At 40.6% G+C, this 26,547-nt stretch overlaps 1 long non-coding RNA gene across 6 annotated transcripts in view, besides 1 other annotated feature; it reads right to left on the reverse strand.

Annotated features, from left to right (window-relative positions):
* Positions 1 to 9,780: 9,780 nt before the first annotated feature.
* LOC105373734 (uncharacterized) overlaps positions 9,781 to 26,547 on the reverse strand; it is an 80,567-nt gene continuing 63,800 nt past the window's right edge. For 2 of the 6 annotated variants that reach the window (XR_923559.3, XR_923560.3), the window contains 4 exons: positions 18,525 to 18,634; positions 16,910 to 17,074; positions 10,056 to 12,949; positions 9,781 to 9,968 (listed from right to left, as the gene is read on the reverse strand). This is a non-coding gene — a long non-coding RNA (uncharacterized LOC105373734). Of the gene's footprint in view, positions 9,969 to 10,055; positions 12,950 to 16,909; positions 17,075 to 18,524; positions 18,635 to 20,990; positions 21,168 to 26,547 lie in introns of those variants that run through there. The other 4 variants (XR_001739766.2, XR_923561.3, XR_007087284.1 and 1 more) reach the window with 4 other exon arrangements.
* Positions 23,699 to 24,200: an enhancer, noted in NCBI's record as "NANOG hESC enhancer chr2:169211617-169212118 (GRCh37/hg19 assembly coordinates)". NCBI's record gives its function as "activates a minimal SCP1, AML or CMV promoter by ChIP-STARR-seq in naive H9 embryonic stem cells {active_cell/tissue: H9 hESC(naive)}" and the evidence as "EXISTENCE:reporter gene assay evidence [ECO:0000049][PMID:30033119]".

Consider the following 26,547-nt stretch of genomic DNA (forward strand, 5'->3'; position numbering starts at 1 on the left):
GATCAAGGGATCAATCCAGAGGATATAACAATTCTAAATAAATACATACTCAACACTGGAGTACCCAGATTCATACCCCACTCTCAGCAATAAACGGTTCATCTAGACAGAAAGCAAAGAAATATTGAATTTAAACTAGACTTGAGGCAAAATGGACCTAACAGACATTTACAGAACATCCTATTTAACAACCACAGAATATATATTCTTTTCATCAGCACGTGAAATATTCATCAGGAAAGACTATATGTTAGGCCAAAAAATACGTCTCAACAAATTTTTAAAAATTGAAATCATATCCAGTGTCTTTTCAGACCACAACAGAATAAAAGCAAAACTTGGCCGGGTGCGGTGGCTCACGCCTGTAATCCCAGTACTTTGGGAGGCTGAGGCGGGCAGATCACGACGTGGTCAGGAGATCGAGACCATCCTGGCTAACATGGTGAAACCCCGTCTCTACTAAAAAAAATACAAAAAGCCGGGCGTGGTGGTGGGCGCCTGTAGTCCCAGCTACTCAGGAGACTGAGGCAGGAGAATGGTGTGAACCCAGGAGGCAGAGCTTGCAGTGAGCCGAGATCGCGGCGACAGAGCAAGGCCCCGTCTCAAAAACAAAACAAAACAAAAAACTAAAACTCAATAATACCATGAAGAACTCTAGAAATTATACAAACACATGGAAATTAAATAACATGTTCCTGAATGACCATTGGGTTGATGAAGATACTAAGATGGAAATTAAAAAAAGTATTGAAACAAATGAAAATGTTTGGTATGAAACACTACATACCCAAATCTGTGGGATGCAGTAAAAGCAGTGCTAAGAAGGAAGTTTAGGCCAGGCACGGTGGCTCATGCCTGTAATCCCAGCACTTTGGGAGTCCAAGGCAGGCGGATCACGAGGTCAGGCATTCGAGACCAGCCTGGCCAATATGGTGAAGCCCTGTCTCTGCTAAAAATACAAAAATTAGCTGGGCATGGTGACACACACCTATAGTCTCAGCTACTCAGGAGGCTGAGGCAGGAGAATCACCTGAAGTCAGGAGGCGGAGGTTGCAGTGAGCCGAGATTGCACCGTTACACTCCAGCCTGGGCCACAGAGCCAGACTCTGTCTCAAAAAATAAATAAATAAATAAAAGTTTATAGCAATAAACACCTACATCAAAAAAGTAGAAAGATCACAAGTTAATAACCTAATAATACAGCTTAAAGAACTAGAAAAGCAAGAACAAACCAAACTCTAAATTAGCAGAAGAAAGAAAATAATAAAGATCACAGCAAAACTAAATAAGAGACTAAAAAAACAATCAAATGATCAATGAGATGAAAAGGTGATTATTCAAAAAGATAAAATTGATAAACCAGTAGCCAGCTTAACCAAGAAAAGAAGAAAGAAGATCCAAATAAGCAAAATCAGAAATGAAAAAGGAGACATTACAACTGATATCACAAGGATACAAAGGATCATTGGAGACAATTATGAACATCTATATGCTAACAAACTGGAAAACCTAGAGGAAATTGATAAATTCCTGGAAACATGCAAGCCACTAAGACTGAATCAGGAAGAAATAGAAAACCTGAACATACAAATAATGAGTAGTGAGCTTGAATCAGTAATAAAAAGTCTCCCAACAAAGAAAAGCCCAGGACCAAATGGATTCATAGTTGAATTCTATCAAACATATAAATAACCAATACTAATCTTCCTGATACTATTCCAAAAAATTAAAGCAGAGGGAATTCTCCCTAACTTATTCTATGAGGTCAGTATCACTGTGATGCCAAAATGAGAAAAGGTCACAACAAAAAAAGAAAACTACAAACTAATATCCCTGATGAACATAGATTCAAAAATCCTCAACAAAATACTAGCAAACTAAATCTTAAAACAGACCAGGTGTTGTAGCTCACACCTGTAATTCCAACCCTTTGGGAGGGTTGGCTTGAGTCCAGGAGTTCAAGATTGGCCTGGGCAACCTAGTGAGACCCCCATCTCTACTAAAAGTAAAACAATTAGCCGAGTGTGGTGGTGCAAGCCTGTAGTCCTAGCTACTTTGGAGACTGAGGCAGGAGGATTGCTTGAGGCCAGGAATTTGAGGTTTCAGTGAAGTATATGACACCACTGCACTCCAGCCTGGGTGACAGCAAGAACATTTCTTTAAAAAATGAAGAAAAAGCTAAAAATATAATTACCATTTGATTTAGCAATCCCATTACTGAGTACATACCCAAAGTAAAAGAAATCAGTATATCAAAGGCTACCTGCAATTGCACGTTTATTGCAGCAGCTAAGCTATGGGACTGACCTACGGGTCTGTCAATGGATGAATGGATAAAGAAAATGTGAGATAGATACATATATACCATGAAATACTATTCAGCCATAAAAAAGAATGAAATCATGTTAATTTGCAGCAACATGGGTGGAACTAAAGGTCATTACCTTAAGTGAAATAAACCAGGCACAGAAAGACCAATATTGCATGTTCCACTCATATGTGGGAGCTAAAAAAATTGTTCTCATGGTGACAGAAAATAGAATGATAGTAGGGATAGGGGAACATGTGAGGGTGGGAGAGGGGGAATGAATAGAGGTTGGTCAATGGGTACAAACAAACAGTTAGATAGAAGATCTAAGTTCCTTTTTTTTTTTTTTGAGATGGAATCTCACTCTTGTCGCCCAGGCTGGAGTACAGTGGTGTGATCTCAGCTCACTGTAACCTCCACCTCCTGGGTTCAAGCGATTCTCCTGCCTCGGCCTCCCAAATAGCTGGGATTACAGGTGCGTGCCACTACACTCAGCTAATTTTTTGTATTTTTAGTAGAGATGTGGTTTCACCATGTTGGCCTGGCTGTTCTCGAACTCCTGACATCAGGTGATCTGCCCGCCTCGGCCTCCCAAAGTGCTGGGATTACAGGTGTAAGCCAGTGCGCCCGGCCAGAAGATGTAAGTTCTAATATTTGATAGCGGATTAGGGTATCTACAGTTAAAAACAATATATTGTATATTTCAAAATAGCTAGAAGAGAGGACTTGAAATGTGTTACCAACACATAGAAATAATATCCAAGGTGATGGATACCCCAAATACCCTATTTGGTTATTATACATTCTATGCATGTAACAAATAGTCATATGTAGCCCATAAATATGTAAAATATTACGTATCAATAAAATAAAAAAAAAGAATTTTGAGCATTTGGAGGCTGCTGTAATATAAGGAAGCCCCAGCCGTGTCAAGAGGCTCTCTGACGACAGCCTCAGCTGGACCCAGGCTTCTAGTCATCCTGGCTGAGATGCCATGTGTGAGAGTGAACAGGCTTGTGGATGATTCCAGCTCCCCATTATAAGAGTCTTTTCAGCTGAGGCCACAGACATTGCAAAGAGGGAAAAGTCATCCTTGCTGAACGGTTTTTGAATTCCTGATCCGCAGAATTCATGAACTTCACAAAATCATTTAAAACTTTAAAATCAAATTATTTCTTATTTGCAGTGACTTTTCTACCTTAGGAATCTGTAAGGATATAATCATTGCAGAGGAGGAGAGAAACTTAATCTTTAATACATATTTGTTAGTTTTTAGTAAACTCTATATAGTTAATTTCAAAGAATGTGTTTTTGTTTTTCCTCAACTTTTCCTTTTTTTGTATTTATAAAACACAGAATTTTAAGAATGCATACAATTACTACCAAGGAGAACTAGCTGAATTATTGTGGACCTTAACTGTATTTGAAAGTACGATCAAATGCTATTGCCTGTTTATCTGATTGGGTGGAAGAAGTGAGCATATATTTTTAGTGAGGTTTTATAAACCCCAATGATCGAAGTACTACTTTCAGGTAACAAGAAAAATCATTAATATTGTTCAGTGCAAGAATTATTAAGTCTCATTTTATGCAGTTATGTGGCTCAAAATAAGAGAAAAATTACTCTTTAAAAACATATTTTAGAGGCTGGGCGCGGTGGCTCATGCTTGTATTCTAGCACTTTGGGAGGCCAAGGTGGATAGATTGCCTGAGCTCAGGAATTCAAGACCAGCCTGGGCAACACGGCAAAATCTTGTCTCTACTAAAACACAAAAAATTAGCCGGGTGTGGCAGCGTGCGTGTGTGGTCCCAGCTACTCTGGAGGCTGAAGCAGGAGAATTGCTTGAACCTGGGAGGCGGAGGTTGCAGTGAGCTGAGATCACGCCACTGCACTCCAGCCTGGGTGACAAGTAAGACTCTGTCTCAAAATAAATAAATAGATAAATTTTTAAAAAGCATATTTTAGCTACTGTGATAAAGTATAGTTATATCACAATCAGTGATCTATAAAGGGTTTCCTTGAAATTGAGTTGATTCAACCAAGTTAATGAAGTTCTTATAGTGTCTTTTACTCTACTAGGTCATGTGATGAACATCTAAAAAGTTAATGTATATACAGCCTGACTTTGTGAATCTTCTAGTCTCGTAAACACAGTAATATTTGCTTACTTGAAACAACTAGGTAGTAGTGCTTGGTGGGAAAGGTACATTCACGTGAAAATCCAGGAGAATTACCCCTAAGTCTCCAGAGTCTTCATGCTGGAAATAAATAATTCCCTAAGTGTGAGATATGCATGATTTCATTTCTTTTTCTAAGGAGTTCTAATGTTTTAAATGTGGCAAGCTCCTTGCTGTATTTTCAACTTGGTTTGTAACAAAACAAGGACAAGCGAAACAAAACAAAAACCAAACTCTTCACAGAACTGGCATGTATTGGATCTGGAATCTCGGACTGGCTAATTTTATATTACTTTTAAATGTTATTAGACTTGTGTCTTGCTGTAATTAAACATTTTATGAAAACGAGTATAGTAGATTAGTAAACAAAATAATCCAGGCTGGCTGCACAAAAACTTTTATTTTTTCTTAGTTCCATTTAATACTGTGAACTAAACTAGTCTTTCTCCCTTCCTGCTCTTCATATAAATAACTTGATCCCTTGAGATCTCAGTGGCCTGCACTTCTCTGTTTCATGTCTCACACACTGCTGAGACTTTCAGAAGCAAGGAGATGCTCAGAGAGGACAAAAGAAACTTGGATTTTGGTAACAAAATCACATTCAACTTTGTAACATATGAACTCTACGTTGTGAAGGATATAAAAAGACTAAGTATAATTGTTGCCTTCAATACACTAGTAATTTAAAAGAATTAGTAGTAATATATAAATATTCCAAGTCTTATAAATATGATTGATTGATTGATTGATTTTGAGACAGAGTCTTGCTCTGTCCCCCAAGCTGGAGTGCAATGGCGTGATCTCGGCTCCCTGCAACCTCCCCCTCCGGGGTTCAAGCGATTCTCCTGCCTCAGCCTCCTGAGTAGCTGGTATTACAGGTGCCCGCCACTATAACCTGGCTAATTTATTTTAATAAGCTTATTGGAACTCACAGATCTTAATATTGTTCCCCTAATCTTTATACAGTGCCCCATGCCTGTACGCTCTCTGCCTCCCTCCTCCTCCTCACTCCAAGCTGGCATCCTGATTGGTTCTACCTTGAGCTGAGCTCAGTCTCTAACAGTTCCTCACCTGCATGGCCAGGAAGTGCAGCAACTGGCTTAGCCCCACCTTCTGGCCGGCTTGTGTTAACTGCATATCCAGAGTCTGAGGAAATGCGAGTGCCAGGTAACCTTGAGTCATCTTTTTAGCTTTTTCCTCCTTAGTGGTCGGCCTGAGAATTTACCTAAAAGACCAATCTCCCGTTAGGTCTATAGAGCTTCCTGAACCTCACCAGCCTTATCAAAGCAGGATTGGGCTTGGATTCCTGTCTCTTGCCAGTTAACCCCTGTTTCAATTATCTATTGCTACATAACCTACTGCCCCCAAATGCAGTGGCTTCAGATGGTTTCTTCACTCGCATGTCCATTACCTTGGTGTCCCTTGGCTCCTCTCCCTCTCACTCTCTCAACCTAGGCTCACCCTTCAGCACCTAGTCACAGCTTGGTCTTATGCATGAAGGTCTCAGAGTAGGTGGATTTATTGCATGGTCCCTGGCTTCTTCAGAGAATGTTCTAAGAGACAGAATTTGGAAGTTGTGAGTCTTGTAAGGCCTGGGCTCAGAAACTGACACAACATCACTTCTGAAAAATTCTATTGGTCACAGAGTCTGCCCCAGTTTCAAGGGGAGGGGACAAAGACTCCATCTCTTCATGGGAGGATTGTCAGAGTTTCAGGCTATCTCTAATGTGCAATTACCCCTTTTCCTAAAGTCCCTGTGACTTCAACCACTGGTCAGAGTCCTGCTGTGGTTGACTGAATCATTAGGAGCAACTTGATGGAGCTGAACCTGATCCATTTGTGTTCATGCCGCAGCATCTACCAGATCATGCGCCAGTGCCGATGACTTCTGAACCCTTTCTCATGAGCTTCTGCTTTTGGGTCCTGAGCTTGGCCTTCACAAATGCCCTTCCTGGGAGCAGCATCTGTGACCAGCTGTAGTAGTCAGGGTTCTCCAGAGAAAAAGAACCAATTATGTGTGTGTGTGTGTATTTGTATGTATATTATGATAATTACTATTATAAAGAATTGGCTCATGTGATTATGGAGGCAGTCAAGTCTCAAGATCTGCATGGCAGGTCCACTAGAAACCCAGGAGAGCTGATGGTCTAGTTCCAGTCCACATCTGAAGGCCTGAGAATCAGGACAGTAGATGGTGGACTTTCTGTCAAAGGCCAGCAGGCTTGAGAGTCCAGAAGAGCTAATGTTTCTGTTCAAGTCCAAAGGCAGGAAAAAAGCTGATGTCCTGGTTGAAATGGACTCAGGCAGAAGGATTTCTCTCTTACTCAGGGCAGGGTCAGCCTTCTGTTCTATTCAAACCATCACCTGATTGTAAGAAGCCATCTTAGGGAAGGCAACCTGCTTTATTCTCTCTTCTGATTTAATCTCATCTCAAAACACCCTCACAGAAATACCTAGAATTGTATTTGACAAAGTATCTGGGCACACTGTGGCCCAGTCACATTGACACATAAAATTTACCATCACCAGTTCAGTTTCCCCAGCCCTGCATCCTTTCAAGAATTTCAAGAATTCTTTCCTCGCCTCACTCTCTCATGACAAAGCCTACTCCATAACAAGAGCTGCAGTGTCTGAGTTCTAAGAGAGCCACTTCCTTAAAATGTGTCACCTCTTCAAACAGTGGTCCCATTGCTGTATGGCTTATAATTTGTTTATGAGGACAGTTACTTAATAGGCAAACCAGGCACATAACAGGTGACAGAAGCACGGGCATCTCCACGTGTAGATATGCATTAGATGGCTGTGCAGGGAACCACTGTGGTGTTTGCAGGAAAAAGAACTATGAGATTTCAATGACTACAAAATGCTAACATTTGTCTAGTGCTTTATATTTTACAAACAACTTTCATATACTTTACCCCTGTAGTCCTTGTGATCCTTATAGTTGGTATTATTGTTATAAATGCTGCTTTGGAAAAGATAATATTAATAATACAGTGCTAATGATTGGCCTGCATGGTCTCCTTTATTTGCACAACTATTACTCATTTATTTATGTTCATTCATTTATTCCACAAATATCTATTGAGTGCTGTGTGCTGGAGATAAACTGATGAGAGAAAACAGATGTGTCTGCTCTCATGGAACACATGGTCTATTATAGAAGAATGCTGTTAATTAAATAATCTCACAAATCAATATAAATTTGGAACTGTGATCAGTGCCCTGAGAGTGAACATAGTGGCATGAAAGGGACATTTGGCCTCATCACTGAGGAAGTGTCAACTTAATTGATCCAGGAAAAAAGGGCATTCACCAGAGTAAAGGATGGAGGAAGGGCCCCATGTTCCACGGGGAGGGAATGGCTCTTTTGCAAGAGCCCTGTGGTAGGAGAGGATGCTTCCAAGAACTGAAAGAAGGCCAGTGTGCCTGCAGCACAAGCCCAGTGGGGTAGGCTCTGTTATTTGCACAAATCCTATTTTGCAGATGAAGAAAATGAAGAGTAGGTTTCTGGTCTTTGCTTGTCTGGTAATACAGCCAGGCAGCAGCTAACCAGATCTTGAACAGATTCCTGCTCATTCCTCAGCTCCTGTTCCTCCCTGGATGGTTTGCTGTTGGAGACAGATCAGTTTTAGCATTGTTTTCAAGGAGGATAAAAATGGAGCATGACCAGGGGAGGAAAAATACATCCAGGCAAAGGGTATCACTGTTGCAGTATTCGTAAAAAAAACACGAGCTGGGAATTTTAAGTAAGGGAGCTGAGCTCCTGTGGAGAGTTTGAAGAATGGGTGGCTAAGATCAAAGCAGCCAAAAATAAGGGAGGTGGTTGTATTCTGTGATTAGGATTCTGGGTTTGAAATAATTGTGGGTCAATCAGTTAATTAATACAACCACAGCAAAAGATGATGCTAGTGTTTGAGCAGTCTCATTGTCACACTTTTCTTCCCGAATGGTCTTTAGAAATAAGATCAATTTTCATCTGAATAAAGCAGCTTCACTTTTATCCTCTCTGGAGGGTAGGGTTGAAGGGACACATGGACTTCTCAAATTCCTAGTGATTCGTAAAGCAGTAGGTCTCCTAAATGTGTGGTGAAATACAGTGCTGGGCAGAGTGAGACTCAACTCAAATGTTCTTTGCCTCTCAGATGGAAGAGAATGTTTTGCACCAAACACTTTCCAGAAATCACTACAGGCTAAAGAAAGGCTTTGCTCAAGGGGAAGTACTAGTGTGTGCATGAAGGATATGAAGAATGCTGATATTTTAAGGCAAAAGATAAATCTCAGGAAATGAATATATTTGGAAGTTTTATATTAAGATTTTATTATATAAATGTGCCCAGTGGACACAAAACCCAGGTCATGCTTACACTCAGGTAAAACTAGGGAGACACGTTGTGCCCCTAGCAGAAAATCTGAAATGTCAAAGCAGATGCTCCGGACACTCTTGTAAAAAGACTGTGGAATGAATGACTGAGAGAAGTCTTATCGCTGCTACTATGTGAAGACCTAGCTCAGAGCATCAGAACAATGGTGTGTGCCCAATATAGAAGAGAAACAGGCACTTCATTAAGCAGAATCTGGAAAGTGTCATCTTTAAAAGGATACAGGTAGTTTCCTGGGGAGCCATTCCGACTTGAGCTGAGTTTTAGACCTATTAAGTCTACAAAGAGACTGACCTTTATTCTCTAGGTTCTTAGGGATTTAGGAAATGGGAAGAACTAACAAGAGGAATAAAGCTCCTAAAAGTGCTGGTTAAGCTGCATATCTCCAGACTATTCCAATCCCGCTGGATGGAGGCCCTGGAAACAGAGACAGCCTGAAAATATGAATTCTTTTTTTTTTTTTTTTTTTTTGAGACAGCGTCTTGCTCTGTTGCCCGGGCTGGAGTGCAGTGGTGCAATCTCGGCTCCTGCAAGCTCTGCTTCCCGGGTTCACGCCATTCTCCTGCCTCAGCCTCCCAAGTTACTGGGACTACCAGATGCCCGCCACCATGCCCGGCTAATTTTTGTATTTTTAGTAGAGACAGGGTTTCACCATGTTAGCCAGGACGGTCTCGATCTCCTGACCTCGTGATCTACCCGTCTCAGCCTCCCAAAGTGCTTGGATTAGAGGCATGAGCCACCATGCCTGGCCGAAAATATGAATTCTCAATAATGTACTTCCCAGGGCCCAGTAAAGGATCTAGGCAGTGAATAAAAATTAAAAGAAAAATGCCCACATCTGACTGCAATCATATGAGTCACCCCAAGTGAGATCCACCCAGCTAAACCCAGTCAATCCACAGAATTTATAGGGATTATAATAAATTGTTGTTTTAATCCACTAAATTTGGAGTAGTTTGTTATGCAGGAATATGAGAACTAAAACACATCCCCAAAGCTCAAAAAGGGTGTTCCTGATTGGCAGGCAACTCTTTTAAATCTGGATCCAGGTGCCTTCCATCTGTGGCCTCACCATCTTCAATACCTGGTTTCCAAGATCACTGTGGAAAAGAGAAGAACATAAAGGATAATGCATGGGAGCTCTCTGTGTAACAGGTCAGGAAATGGGATCTACCACTTCTACTCACATTTTATTGGCCAGATCCATTCACATGGTTACACCTAACTGCAAGGAAGGCTGAAAATGTAGTCCAGCTGTGGGTTTAATGAACAGCCAGTTAGTCTCATGAACTAATGTTCCTCTTAAGCCTCTTTCTTATTGGGTGTGGGGTAGAAACCATGGAACTGGACAAATATCAATATGTCAATCTCTTCTGATTCAAACAGTCCTTTTACATTGTATTCCCTTTCCTTTCTCCTGTTCCTCACCAAAATGGTATCTGGGTGTTCGGGGCAAGGGAATAGGTAACACTGTGGCTTGAGAATAAGGGTGTCTTGAATCAGCACATGTGGGTTCTAGGGAGACTTCCCGTTTTGCACTTGATTTTCTGATCCTTATTCTCTGCATAGAGTATGGTCCTGTTTGGCATTTATGGATGCCATGTCTCAACCTCAGCTGAAGTTGATGGCTTGGCTCATCTCTGCCTTTGGCAGCCTCGTGGCACCTGGTACCACTTGGTACCTGGCAGTTCAGTGACCCTTTTGGTACTTCTGTGTCCCTTCAGTAGGGACACAATGGAACTTCTTCCCCCCCCACACCACACCAGCATTCTGCTTATAGGCTTTGGAGAATATGGAGTCCTTTGGCTTGGATCCATCAGCTTGAACCTGATATATGAAGAACAGTGGCAGCCCAGTATGGCTTAGGAGGAAACTGAAAAGAAATAAAAGCATAAGCCATTAGATCTCAATCCTTCTCCTTCAAGCAGCCAGCATGGTTAAGTGACAGAGGACAGGGTCTCCTTTCCTATGGATCCTATCATACTTCTTGGAACTATAGTATATAATATTTACATAATCAGAATACATTTTTTGAGATTGGATTTTACATTTTTTGAAAATTTAAATTTTTTGACAAAGTACATAAGACATTTTGTCAAAAATTTAAATTTTTTGACAAATCACACGACATATCTATAGAAAAGTACAAATTTAAACTGAATAATTTAAAAATTATTAATATGACTAACATTTAAAAGAAAGAGGTAGAGATAGCACAAGTATGGTAAACTTGGCCAGGTGTGGTGGCTCACGCCTGTAATACCAGCACTTCGGGAGGCCAAGGTGGGTGGATCACCTGAGGTCAGGAGTTCGAGACCAGCCTGGCCAACATGGTGAAACCCTGTCTGTACTGAAAATAAAAAAAATTAGCTGGACGTGGTGCGGGCACCTGTAATCCCAGCTACTTGGGAGGCTGAGGCAGGAGAATTGCTTGAACCTGGGAGGCGGAGGTTGCAGCGAGCCGAGATTGTGGCACTGCACTCTAGGCTGGGCAATGGAGTGAGACTCCCTCTCAAAAAAAAAAAAAAAAAAAGTATGGTAAACTCAGCTGTCATCGAGGCAAGACAACAGATACTTTCTAAAACAGATAAATCAAGAACTATATGTATTTAAAGTTGAAATGTTAAGTACTAGAAGAAAAACACGAAAGCAACAATAGCAACATCGCAACTCTGGGGAATGGAAGTTGGAATGGAGGGTGAGAGAAAGGGATACTTAAATTTCCATTTCAGAATTCCTGTGCATTACATTTGAGTAAATTTTAAAACTCAGATACAGAGAATACTTTAACTAGTATTAAATACTGCACTAATATTAAATCTTAAAATAGAGACATCCTCATCAATAAGAAAATGCTTACCTAATATATATTTATTAAATTTCATATAGATCTTAGAAAAATGAAGTACATGTAAAGATGTGGACATTATGGAAGGATATCCATGATGTAGCATTAGGTGACAGAAGTGATTTGTAGAGCAATATGGTTAGAATGCCCTTTTATGTCAAAATTTTCATGTTCACATATACAGTTACATGTCACATATGTAAGTACACATTTGTGGATGCAAGAAAAACTGTATAGGGATGTGTCCCCAAACACTTTGGAATGTAGAGAAGGAAAGATTTTTGTGTTTCACACTTACCTGCTTTTTTTTTTAACTTTAAAAAAAAAGCAGCATGCATGTTCTAGTCGTTATTAATGATAAAGTTATAATTTAGAATGTGAGTTTGCATTATGGCACTTTCTCTTACCAGCTGTGTAATAAGGGGAGAGTCATGCTACCTACCCCTTTGCACCTCAGTTTCCCCATCTTTACACAGAAGAACTCGCATCCATTGCACTGTGGTATGTGTAGATGAAATGTTCCAAAGGAAATGCACCAATGTATCCTAGCAGCTTGTAGGGATTTGATACAAATTATATCCTTTCCTCTTTCTCCTTTCAGAATGAGAAATGGCAGCCAGGGTGACTCAGGAAGAGGGTTGGGTGGAGGGTGGAAAGTGAAGGGTGGAGGGCGGAGGAATGATTCAGACAGACACTATTTAAAAACAGCCCTCAGATGCACTAGGACGAAGCCATCTCCAGCTCCAAGATAACAACCCTCCCCTTTCCTACAATTTTCTTCCAGTTCCCACCCCAATCCTTTCTCTCCTAGGCACCTCTTAATATCTGTTTTAACCCAGCTTTATCCGTATAAAATGTTCGGAGGTTATTAAAATGTTCCAAGATAGAAACAGCCTCCTTTTTTCCTGCCCCTAAGTCATCACGCTACTTACTGTTGAGTACCTGATGCACTAAGTTCCTGAAGAGTAGAGTTCTGGCCAGGTGTGGTGGCTCACACCTGTAATCCCAGCAGTTTGGGAGGCCAAGGCAGGTGGATTACCTGAGGTCAGGAGTTCGAGACCACCCTGGCCAACATGGCGAAACCCCATCTTTACTAAAAATACAGAAACACCTGTAGTCCCAGCTACTTGGAAGGCTGGGGCAGGAGAATCGCTTGAACCCAGTAGGTGGAGGTTGTGGTGAGCCAGGATGGTGCCACTGCATTCCAGCCTGGGCAACAGGGTGAGACTGCATCTGAAAATAAAAAAAGTAGAGCTCTGTTTTGTGATTTTTTTCCTCCAGGGCCTAACACAATGACTAACACATGGTACTTAATGTGTACTGAATAACTCCAGAAAAACCTTTCTTGGTTCTTTCCATACCATTCCCATTACTCTTATGCCAGGATCACAGTTAATTAATTAATTAGATTAATTAACCCCCAAACCAAAAAAAAAAACAACCATTTTCAAGGAAGTAATACATGTAAAATAGCTGATACTTATTTGCTTACTAACACAAATGCACAAATTGGTGGAAGTTCAGACTGAGGTACTGGTTTAGTGGAAGGAGGAAAACAGAATACTTCCAGTCACTGGATTTTTCTAAGTGCTGGCTACTTTAAGTCAAACTACTCAGATGTCTAGGATCTGGCTTTCGTTGACTGTTCTGAAGGGTCTTTGTTAGTTGTACGTCAGTGGAAAAGAGACTGAGATGATGGTATTTGGTTGGGATGCAGCAGTCTCAACAACCCAATCCAGTCCTACCTCAACCATGTGTCACACTCCTAGCCGCAGCTGCCCATGGAACAGAGAGCAAAGCCAGGCCATTGCATGCATTTTATTGCCATGAGGATTTCATCGCCATCCTCAACACAGATCCCAGCTGAGCTATTCTGGACCATGTTGATGATGCTTTGTGCCAAGGGTAGACATAGACTGAAGGAGGTGTGCACCACGGAAAGTAGGCTGGCAACTTCTTCTAAAACAGCTTCCAATTCTCTGTGCTCCAGCTTTCACCAATCCAGTGTTGAGGAACAGACAGCCTCTCAAGCAGATGCAGCCCTTCCCCAACAACCCACCATCCTCAGGACTCCTCTTTGGAGAAGCAGCAAGGGAAGAGGTAGTGCAAGGAGAGTGGTGAGGAGTAGCTAGAGGCTCACAGCTTCTTAGCTGGGACCTCCGGAGTCCTCCTGGGTGATGGTTGCTAGAGAAGTGAGCGGCAAGGTGGGGGACTTAGTCTCCTGGTTTTTAAATCCCAGGTTCTTCTGAGGAACCCCAGAACAACTTCCTGCTGTCTCTAATTCCTCCTCCCTACAGCTGACTTTGGAATTGCTTGGCTTGGCGTTGTTGACATGATAATAATTATAGTCATTTTCATTAATTGCTCCCTATTAGAGCCTAATTGCCATGGAGTACAATAAAATTATGCACATCATTCAATGTGCCATATTAACTTCAGATTTTATTCCATTATAACAGTAGATTTGGTTCACTTTTACATATTACTGCTCACACGACTTAGTTATATACACTTTTTTTTTTTTGATAGACAAAAACAAACCTATTTCAAGTAGCCAAATCAGTGTAACCAGCAGGGGAGCCTCACGGGGGACTGGGACTAAGAAAAGGGAAGTTGTCTTTTTTCTGTGCTTCCCCTTTGTTCTTTTCTCTTTCTTCTGGTTATCTTTTTCTGCCTCTCCATGCACGTGGCAGCACATGCTCTTCCACAGTGGGCTCCTGATGTTTGATGACCTCCATTCAAGTGACAAGCCTAGACTGATGGCTATTTTCATTCTGCTTCCAAATTCCCAGGAGAAAGTGTCCAAGTAACTCAGCTTGGTTGATTATTTCTGATTCAATCAAGTGTGGTCAATAGGATGGCATGACAGTTCAAGAATTTCAGGGGCTCCCAACCTACGGGTGGTTGGGTGTGTGAGGGTGGTGGTAGAGAAGATCTCCAGTTTGCAGGGGTCCCCATGGTTGCGGACCTGTACCAGTCTGTGGCCTGTTAGGAATGGGATTGTACAGCAGTAGGTGAGCGGCTGGTGAGAATGAGCATTACTGCCTCTGAGCTCTGCCTCCTGTCAGATCAGCAAGTGACATTAGATTCTCATAGGAGCGTGAACCCTATTGTGAACTGTGCATGCGAGGGATCTAGGTTGCACACTCCTTATGAGAATCTAATGCCTGATGATCTGAGGTGGAACAGTTTCATCCTGAAACCACTCCCACCCCGACCCCCTGCCTGGTCTGTGGAAAAATTGTCTTCCACAAAGATGGTCCCTCGTGCCAAAAAAAGTTGGGGACTGCTGCTTTGAGGCTTTCTGTAAGGTGGGGGGTAATAATGCAGAGAACCTGTCTCTTGGGGTGGTGGTGAGTGCTGCAACTGGCATTATTCACAGGGTACTTTGCACAGTGCTGGCACATAGAAATCACTGAATATAATGTTTACCATTATTGCTGTTATTATTATCTCTTTGGGTCCTTAAAACATTTTTTCAGGATTTTTAGGTGGGTATTATTTCAAAATCCATAAAATACACCTAAAGATTTATATGAGAAGAATCCAAAAATCTCAGGGAAATCATATGAAAGAAATTATTTGTTTTCCTCAAATCTCTGAACGACAGTTTAAACATTTTCACACACTAGATCTAATTTTGGAGAGCTTGGAAACCTGGCCTGTAAGATTTCACTAATCCAGGAGGGGGCAGGCTTCCCAAACACAAATGTCCTCTGCTGAGGAGCCGTGGCTCCAGGAGAAACAAAGGCGCGTCGGTGAGAGCCGTTTCAGAAATCTAGTATTACCTTCAAAAAAATGTAAGAAATCAAAAGCAACTGGCCTAGAAGAATCCCTGGCTGTGTCATCCAGAGGCACCTTGTCACCTGCCAGGCCAGGTCGGCTGTAAGCTTGTGAAGTAAGCAAAAGAAATTTCCCGTGTCCCCACCCACTCCTATCTTTGCTTTTGTTTCTGGTCCTCTGCCCGCTTCCTGCCTGTGCCTTCCTCATTAGTCTTTGTTCCCCTCTCCCATGACAATCTATCTTTGGGAAAAATAACTGTGATTTAAATGTTTATAGAAGTAAGGATCCTAGGAATATTAGGTCGCTTCAAACACTTTCAAGCGCGTGATAGTCACTAACAAGGGAACTAGCCCTACCAGGACTAGTATTAAGAGAGATGGAGGATTCGTGGCTTAAAGCAAGGGCATTGAAGGTAGATAGGGCTGGGTTTCAATCCTGGCTTTGGTGATAACACATTGCCAGCTCTGTGACCACTTCCCAGCTCCTTTACCCTGGGTAAGTTACTAAGCCTCTTTCTCCTCATGTGTAGAAGGAGGGTAGTGTTAGAACCTATCCCAGGATTTCCTCAGGATTAAAAAGGAGTGTGCATGTCTAGTACATAGTATTTGGCACATAAGACATATCAACTGTAGTTGTTATTATAATAAAAGTTTTATTATAGTGATATGACGTTAATAAATTATTACAGTAATATAATTTTTTATTACTTTGGTTTTTTTTTATCATGGTCCTATTTTATACCACACATTAGACAATTTCTGGTGTATTACCTTTAGGTCTGAACTGGAGGAAAAGGATACATTTTAAATGAAACATGACATGTTAGAACACAGAAAAAAATGAGCGGGATGAAGTTTCTGGAAACTCCTATAAAAATTTGTTGAAAGAGTTGTGGTCATTGGAACTGAAAAGTATGAGAATAAGAGCTTAAGAGCATGCATCTTGAAATGCAGGAACGGCTGGAGGGAATCCCGAGGGGCCTGGACAACCCTAATCCTCTAGATCAGGAAGGTTTTGCCCTTGTTTCTGTTAGTTGCCCAAGGGGAATTACTGCCCCCACCTCAGTTTATGTTTATTTCTCAGTTTAGAGGTTTTCAGAACCAATGGAATGACAGACCCATGATTACAAACTCTCAAGGGAAACTTTTCCCCTAGAGCCCAGACCACTGAGATAGAAAATCACCTTTATTGTCTCCCTGAGCCGATGGGTGCATTTCCTGATTCATTCCCTCACTCTGAGTATAGCCCTTCTGAAGACCAGGATTTCTGCAGGGGTTGCAGTTCCAACACCCAGCATTCTGTATCTCCAGGCCTCACATTCTGCCCTGGCCTGAGCATTCTAATCCAAGCCTCTAGGTGGCCAAGCCAGGCAACTCCCACCCTGAGTGGCTCTAGCATACATGCACGTACTCACTGCTCTGATTTTTCCTTCTCACTTCATCTTTGACTCCAGGAACTTTCTTTACTTTCTTCCAGCATTCAGCCATGTCTTAAAGGAGACTTGTTTTACTGGATCCAGAATTTCTGATTATTGTGGAGCTACATGGTTTTTGGATTGTTTAGTTGACCATACACCTAGAGGCAGAAATTAGTTTAAAAATAATTAAACAATTAAATACAAAATTTAATCACATTTAAAGGGAAGTTGGGAGTTCCTGAGGGGTAGATTTAAGCTATTAAAGGAAGCTGCTAAAGAGAGCTGCGGAATGGTGAGGTCCAGTCAGCGTGGGTATTGGGTGGCTCTATTATGCCATCATGGCGACTGTCACATTAAATAATTCTGAAGCTGAAAGAATTTAAGGGAATGTTTGACCTGCCCCACAGTATATGTATTTAAGACTTAATAGGCCATAGGGAAAGTCAGCAAATGTTCAGGAGAGTCTTTTTCTGAAAAAATGTTCCCACCTAAGGGATTAAGGACCTCCTGTAAGGAAGGCTGGGCTCAGGGAACTATCCCACACCCTTAAATCTGTTTCTTTGTGCTTGTGGGGCAAGAATAAGCTAAGAGCACCAGAGTTGTCATTAGGATCAACGGAATATATTGGTTGGAAAAAAGGAATACTCAAAATGCTGCTTCCCCTTCCTTCACATTCTGGTCATTCAGGTAGTCTTTTTAGTTCTGTAATACTTTACAGCGAGAGTTTCTCTCTCATATACATTTTCTTTGTCACAAAAGCCGTGTGAAATAGACAGAGATTATTGTCTCCATAGCAATTTGTTCAAGGACACACAAGAGTAAGTGGACAAAATAGGACTTGACTTTCTGTCTTTAGGTTGGATCATGGGATGCCAATTCTTTTGTATGAATTGCACTCATTCTCAAGTCTCTGACATGTCAGGGAGAACTTTGGTCGTCTCTTTTGGAGGCTGTTGGTCTCTAGTACAGATTCTCTGCTCTTACTTGGTTTGTTTGATTCTAAAGATGTCTTACTTGGCTTCTCTGATTCTAAATTATCTTTGAGAAGAGAATATGGTGACTCTTCATTCCACTCTATGACCCAAATCCTATGCCTTTGGTTATCTCCTACTAGATTATAACCACAATCAGTTATACATGAATCACCAAACTAACTCAGCACACACATATTATGTAACACAATAGCTCCTACAGACAAACTGTGGCTTGGGACCATTATTTTAGATCCTGTTATCCAGGTAAGTATAGTAGGTCGCAAATGTTAGTGGTCAACCAATTAGACTGGAACAGTAATCATTACAGCAGGTCAAAAGTCTTGAGACCCTTTAAATGCAGGTATGTAAAGCAGCATTGAACGGGAACACTTAAATTTCTTTCCATCCTCTAACTATGCTCCAATCTCAAGTAACTTTGCTCTTTCATCATAGAGGATGGAATATGATGTGAAGACATAAGGGGTTGCCCTAGTCATTTGCCATAGTCTTTTTCTGAGGTTACTTCTCTCTATAGAATAGAAAGTGCTGGCTCTATACTATTTTACACTGTTTTGAATTCGTTTCTTCCCTGTTGGCTTTACCTGAAGGTTGTGTGTGCCATGGGATCACTAACCTTAAGCTCAGCCTGGCTAGTGGGAACATTCACTGAAGACACAACATCAGGCTGTTTTTACCAGTTGATCACATTTATTTTTTGTCACAAACATCATTACATACTTCCCCCTAGAAGCCAAAGAAAAACATTATCATAACCAGAAATAATTAGAAAAAGCACAGAATAAAAGAGGCAGTTCTGGTTACAAAGACAACAACCAATGCCAACAAATATTGTCAATACCCCTTTCATCTCCCTGGCCTTGGTTATAAAAATATGATGGTACTATAAAGTGCTAAAAATCACTAATGACATTGGAAACTCTCATCTATTAAAGCAAATGCAAGATGGAATATACTTATTGTAGGAAATAAAGAGGTTTGTTAACAACAACAACAACAACAACAACTCATGACTTTGGGAACAGTCATGTGTTAAAGACGCGAATTCCAGGATCTCAGTCATTTCCTCTCAGTGAAACATTATCAGAGACAAACAGAAAATCAATAAAAGATTTAAGTCTCATAGAGTTTGTGTAAATATTGTAGAAATGACTTTCACAAGAGTGATAAGCACAGCCTTATCACATTTAATTCAGCTGAGAAGTCCAACTAAAACATAAAACTCTAATTACCCCCTCTGATGGCCAGCAGTTTTATAACAATGAAAGTAGCTGGATTTATACTGTATAAGCCAGCACTTGAGCACTCATCCATGCAGCCTTGCCACCTCAACAGGTTGCCAGCACCTGCCTTCCCACTCCTCTGATGCCAAGTAAAAGTGAAGTTTGCTTGTGACGCTCCGAGATTCCTGAATTCATCCCTATTCTCAAAGGAAACTTTTCAATCTCATTCAGACACTTCCCAGCTCTCAAAAAAGACAAGGAAACTAATTTCTACCAAAGTGTGAAACTAGTGATAGTTTAACATGCACCTCTTTATTTAACATGTACCTCCTTATTTTTCCTAGAAGAGTTGCAATTTAACAGGAATCAAAATTCTAACCTACAAGCAGAGCAGAACTGTGTTTATTGTGTGCTATCTTTTGGTTAAGGAACTATATAATTGTATTTGCTTATATTTTCAAAAATTAACAATGAAAGGATGAGACAAAATCTGACAAAAACAATTACCTCTTATATAGGGAGGGAGGAAATGGGGTAGAAAGCACATGAAAGCAATCCTTTTCTGGATTTACTTTGTTTTGTGCTTTTTACTTTAAAACAGAGGTGTGTGCTGGCCAGGCGCGGTGGCTCACGCCTGTAATCCCAGCACTTTGCGAGGCCGAGATGGGCGGATCACGAGGTCAGGAGATCGAGACCATCCTGGCTAACACGGTGAAACCCCATCTCTACTAAAAATACAAAAGAAATTAGCCGGGCATAGTGGCGGACGCCTGTCGTCCCAGCTGCTTGGAAGGCTGAGGCAGGAGAATGGTGTGAACCTGGGAGGCGGAGCTTGCAGCGAGGCCACTGCGCTCCAGCTTGGGCGACAGAGTGAGACTCCGTCTCAAAAAAAAAAAAAAAAAAAAAAAAAAACAACCACTTTGGGAATCATATGTAATAATTTAGAAAAAGAAGGCTACAACATGACCACATGCTATTTATCTGAGGAATCCAAGAATTTAACATTTGAAAATCAACTTAATGTAATTCACCATATAAACAGACCAAATAGGCACAGAAAAGCATTTGACAAAACATGACATCTGTTTCTCATTAAAAATCTCTCAGCAAATTTGGATAAGAAGGGAATGTCTTTAACCTGATAAAGGGAATCTATGAAATAAACTATAGCCATACATCATACTTAATGATGAAATACTGAATACTCTCCCACTAAGGTCAGGACCAAGACAAGAATGTCTGCTCTCACCACTTCTATTTAAGTGTGCTTGAGACTCTAGCTTGGGCAATAATGAAAAAAAAAAAAAAAGAAAAAAGAATAACAGATGTTCAGATTGGAAAGGAAGAAGTAAAACTCCCTTTATTCCCAGATAATGTGATAGCTTACATAGGAAATCTGAGCAAATCTTAAAAAGCTCCTAAAACTAATAAATGAGCAAGGTTGCTGGATACAGGATCAGCAAGCAAGAATCAGTTGCGTTTCTATGTACCTGCAACAAACTATCAGAAATTTAAATAAAACAATGCTGCTTACAGTAGCATAAAAATATGATACATAGATGTAAATTTGACAAGATATGTGCAAGACCTATATGCTGAAAGCTACAAAACATTGCCAAAATAAATTAAAGCAGATCTAAATAAATAAAGATATCATGGTATTGAAGACTTGATATTGCTAAGTTAAAATTATCCTCAAATTGGTCTATAGATTAAACACAATCTCAATCAAAATCTTGGCACACTTTTTTGGTACAAATTGACAAGCTGATTCTGACATTTATATGGCTATACCAAGGACCTAGACTAGTTAAAACAATTTTGAAAAGAAGGAAAAAGTTGAGAACACTAAAAATTACCTGATTTCAAAGTTTATAAAGCTACAGCAAGATACTGTGGTACTGGAGTCAAGTTAGACAAGTAGACCAAGGGAACAGAATAGAGTCCTGAAACAGACCCAAACATAAATGAAAACTTGGTTGTTGACAAAGTTTAAAGCCCAGTTCTTGGACAAAAATGTAGCCTTTCAACAAATGGTTCTGGAAAAAAGGGAATATCTATGTGCAAAATAAATGAACTTTGATCCACATGTTGTACCATATACAAAAATTAACTCAAAGTGAACAATAGACCTAAGTGTAAAATCCAAAAACTATAATACTTCTAGAAGAAAACATATGATAACATTTTTGCAGCCTTGGGTTAAGCAAAGATTTCTTGCACAAAATACCAAAAGCACATACTGGGTGAAAATATTTGCAAATCATGTATCTGATAAATAACTTTTATCAAAAATATCTAAAAACTCTCAAAATTCAACAATAGGAGAAAAAAACAAATGAAAAAGGAAGAAAATTTAAATAGACACTTCACCAAAGAAAGTATATTGGTAGCAAATAAGCACAGGAAAAGATGTTCAACATCTGTAGTTATTATGGAAATGCAAATTCAAACTATCATGGATATCACCACATATCCATTAAATTAACAAAATTAGAAAGACTGACCACACCAAATATTGAGGAGGATGTGGAGAAACCCAAACTCTCATATACTGCAAGTACTTAAAATGTAAAATTTGAAAAATTTTGACTTATGCATATACCCACAAAATTGTCACAACAATCAAGATAGTGAACACATCTGTCATTCCCAAAAGTTTACTCATAATCCCATTTGTAATTCTCCCCTCCCACCATTTCCTGTTGCCCCCTTTCCCTTAGTCCCCAGGCAACCACAGAAGCCACAGATCCTTTCTCTGTTACTATAGTTTAGTTTTTTTATACCTTTACATACATAAAATTGTATAGTATGTATGCTTTTTGTCTTACCTATTTCACTGGTGATAAATTTTGAGATTCATCCGTGTCGTTGTGTGTATGAATAGTTCACTTCTTTTCATTGCTGAGTAATATTCCATTGTATGGATATACCACAATTTGTTTATTCATTCTGTGTTGATGGACATTTGAGTAATTTCTACCTTTAGCTATTACAAATAAAGCTACCATGAACATTCTTATATGACATATGCCTTTCTTTCTTTGAATAAATACCTGGGTGTAGAAAGTCTTATCATATGGTAGGGGTATATTTAATGTTTTGTGGAAGTCCTAAGCTATTTGAAAACCTTAAAGACCTATTGAGGTAAGGATCATTTCTCTTAGAGATGAGGAAATTTGAGTCTCAGAAAAGTCATGTTGATTTACCCAGTGTCTCTCTGCTAGTGAGTAGTACAACCAACTGCAACTGAGTTTGGAATAAACTTAATTCTTCTGATTCTACAGCCAGGAGATGCTTCCATCAGCCCATAGACATTCCTAAAAACCTAGTCTCACCACTAATAATGCCAGGATTTATACACTGTTAGTACAGAAATAGGAACTTGGAGACCTCCTGTTAAGAGAGTGCTTCAAAAATTAATTCTATGAAACATTAGTCTAACAAGATGATGTGTGACACAAGTGTTTGATGGTCAAGGAAGCCTGGGAAGGCTGCACCCGTTAGCCCCCTTGTATAAATACATCATGTTAGAATATGACAGATATGAGAAATTCTATAGCAACAAGTTCATTTATATTTGTTTAATCAAGTACATCCTAACCATATTTGAACTTAGAACTTGTTTTTTCACCTACAACTTTTTACTAGATATTATAAACTTTATAATAAAAATGTGTTATGTGTGTAATTAACGAAATTTGAATTAAGACTTGTCAGGTCTGGATAACAGCACAGCCTCCTTTTACTTTTCTCTCTCAGCATCATGAAAGATACAAGTAGAACGACAAGTCTTAAAAAAGTAAAATTTGGCACCAGGCATCAAATTGCAACTTCTTTATAGATTGCCTAGATATCAGAATAAAATCATTTAATTCTTATATTGAAGCAAAACCTACTGGGGCTTATTCATTTCAAGCTGAGTTCTTTGACATATTGAAATTCACTGGAAGAAAAAACAATCTTTATTCTAAGCCTTTTCAAAGTTGGTGAACAAAGAAAGCCATATCCAAGTTGTGAGTACATCTCTTCTCTTCAGCTGTGTAGATTATGCGGCCTCATGCAATTAAGTTAAGTGGAAGTAGTTAAGAACAATTTGTTGATCTTCATGGCCTTTTGTCTGTAGGAAACAGATTCTATTCAAAACCACATGTCTAGACCACATTTATGCCTTAGAAACAAGGCACCAAATTTTGATCCAGACTGCCTAGGTTACCTCTTGAACCTACTGATATCTTTATTTTGTGTGTAATTTTTTTCCCCTTTAGTAGAGCAGTGTGCCCCAAATCAGAATGGTGAGTGTTGCAAATTCTAGAGAGCATAGGTTGCCAATTCTTCCTTTCCACTCACACTGTCAATGACTGTTCAGCATGATGAAGAGGCAGGAAGAAGAATTGGGAGAAGGCTATGCAGAAACTCCCTATGCAGGTTATTCTCCATCTTCAAACACATTCTCTGTCTTCTCCATCTCTTCAGGGCCTACGGAGGCTCCATCACTCTGGTTCTCTTGCCCTCTGGCTTCTGATTGGGATTAGCCAATGGTGAGCACCATGAGGTCCTGAATCTTGCCCCTCTTCCACCACCCCTTGCACCCTCTTTGCCTGTTTGTTCTTGGCTAGGGCTCTGCTCTCAGCCATGGCTCCAGCCAGGCACCCCCTCCCTCCCACAGCTCTGCAGCTGTGCTCAAGATCGGCTCAATTCTCCTCCCCTAGTCCCTTTAGGTTTCATGATGGTAAAGGCTGCCCAGTGCTGCCAATCCTTGGTGCTTCACTCTCCTTGTTTTCCTCTTGACTCTGCTCCCACCTCTGTGAATAGTCCCTTTGTTAAACTTCTACTCATTACCCCTTTGAGTGTGCCAGGTGTTTCCTGCCAGTATTGTCACATGTACCCGTGTTCTAATGTTAAAATTCCAACCAAATCACTTAATTTATATTATAGTTGAAAGTTGTGATATGAGGCTTTCAAATTAGATGTCTTGCTTTGAAAGGGGGAATTTCTAGAAAATGTATTTTAAAATGAGTGAGGGTATTTTATGCTAAAATGGTGAATCCTAACTTTTTTCTCAGTAGGTGGAGGAAAGCATTTTAGCTACTTAAGACTGGCTGACAAAAGTGTGTCTTCTCTCTTTTTTACTTTTCATACTCACAAGAAGTTCTAGGACTTGCTGGCCCCAACTCAGGCCATCTTCTCACCCTGCACCCAGACTTGTGACTCCTCTGGATAAAGGACAAAGTCGATTTGCTTTCCTTGCTTTTAAACCATAGCTGCTAAATTGAGGGAAGTCAAATGATCTGGTGCTGTAACATTCCACATCTCCTTCCAAATTCTTTTTCTTCTTTACCCCCTATTTTCTTCCCCACCTTGTTCTATTTCCTACAAAATGGCTTTTGTTCCTTCTCCCCTTCTTTCCCTTTGTTATGTGATGACCCATGTCCCAAGGCTGACTCTCAGCCACTTGTGAGGTGCATCACAGTGACTAGCATAACTGATGGGAGCCAGAGTTCTCAAGCTTGCAAATATTTTACTTAAAAAGATACATGTGAATGGATTCAAGGTTACTCCGCAGAATAACAACTCTCAATAATCTAAAATCCACAGTGCTTGGCCAGGTGCGGTGGTTCACTCTTGTAATCCCAGCACTTTGGGAAGCTGCGGTGGGCAGATCGCTTGAGCCTGGGAGTTTGAGACCAGCCTGGGCAACACGGGGAGGCCCTGTCTCTACAAAAAATAAAAATAGCTGAGTATGGTGGCATGTGCCTGTAGTCCCAGCTGCTTGTGGGACTGAGGTGGGAGGATCACTTGAGCTGGGGAGGTCAAGGCTGCAGTGAGCTGTGATCCTGCCACTGCACTCCAGCCTAGGCAACAGAGTGACCCTGTGTCAAATAATAATAATAATAATAATAATAAAATCCATAATGCTTTATTGAGTGGGAGAAAGAATGGAATGATTGCTAATGTATCAGAAACTACACATAGCTGATAGTCTTGCCTGTCTATTACTGATCTACATTTAATAGCTCCGGCCATTAAAAATCATTGTAGCACTTTATTTCTGCACACACAAATTGTTTTTGACTCATTAAAATCTGGACATGCCTGTGGGAGTGTTGCAGATTTAAATATCATTTATCAAGTAAGCTGTCGTACAAAAAAGGTTGAGCACAGCTGCTCCAGGGAAAAACTAAGAGAAATCCCATTACTGTGGGGAAATCCCCAATGGAAATCCTATATGGCTTGAGAAAGAAACTCTCAATTGTAATAATTACATTATTATATTTGTGGATCTTGAATGAGTCTTATCCATTAAAGATTGTTTCCCCCTTCAGCATCATTTTTATTAAAATCTTTTTTTCCCAGCATCATCACCTTTTTTTTTTTTTTTTTTTTTTTGAGACAGGGTCTCGCTTTGTTGCCCAGGCTGGAGTGCCGTAGTGCAATCATGGCTTACTGCAGTCTTGAACTTCTGGGATGAAGAGATCCTCCCACCTCAGCCTCCTGAATATTTGGGATTACAGGCATGAGCCACCACGCCCAGCCCAATTTGTTTTTTAACAACAAATTTAGGGAATATTAAAATTGTCTTTTCACAGGCAGAACTATTTTCAATATGTTCAAGCAGAACTCTCAGTCCTAAGTTAAAGGCAGTCACATAACTGGGTTCCAAACTGCAGCAAATGATTCTGTTTTCAGCACAAGATGACACCAGGTGTTGCAGTTTTGAAAAGAGATTTGTCAGGGCCTGGCTTGACCAGCTGCTGCAGGGGCCTGGGAGGAGTTGGCTCTGCAAGGAAGGGCCTTACTGGGGAGAGTCAGCTGGGTGGGCTCCATTGAGCAGCAGACTCTGGGAAGGGGTCTCCTGTGGCAGGCAGAATCCTGTGTCCAGTGGGCCACATTACAGATTGGAGGGCGTTGTTGAGAACAGCAATTTACATCAGAGAGGACCAGCAGAGCTCATCCCCACAGAAGCACTGCTATGGGAAATTGGAAACAGGCTGCTGGGAAGCTAATGGACCTGGCAGCACAGGGCATACTGTCTTCCAGCAGCTGAGTCTCGGGTGCAAATGCCACATCCAGGAGCATCTGGTAAGGAAAAGGCAGGGCCAGTCCTAAAGGTACTGGCACCAGGCAAGTCAATCAGGTGCAAGAACGGGAAGATACTCATTTGCAGAACTGGGTGAAAAATGAGAATCAAGGCTCAGAAGTGACCCTTTATTGAGGCATTAACCAAAAAAATTTAAAAAATTTTTTTAGTAGAAATGAAGTCTCATTATGTTGCCCAGGCCAGTCTCAAACTCCTGAGCTCAAGAGATCCTCCTTCCTTGGCCTCACACAGTGCTGGGATTACAGGGATGGGCCACCACACCTAGCTTGAACCTTTTCGTGAAAGTGAAACTGAGTGCAGAGTCAGAGAAGCAG

This window comes from Homo sapiens, chromosome 2 (assembly GCF_000001405.40).
Source record: "Homo sapiens chromosome 2, GRCh38.p14 Primary Assembly".
Taxonomy (NCBI): Eukaryota; Metazoa; Chordata; class Mammalia; order Primates; family Hominidae; genus Homo; species Homo sapiens.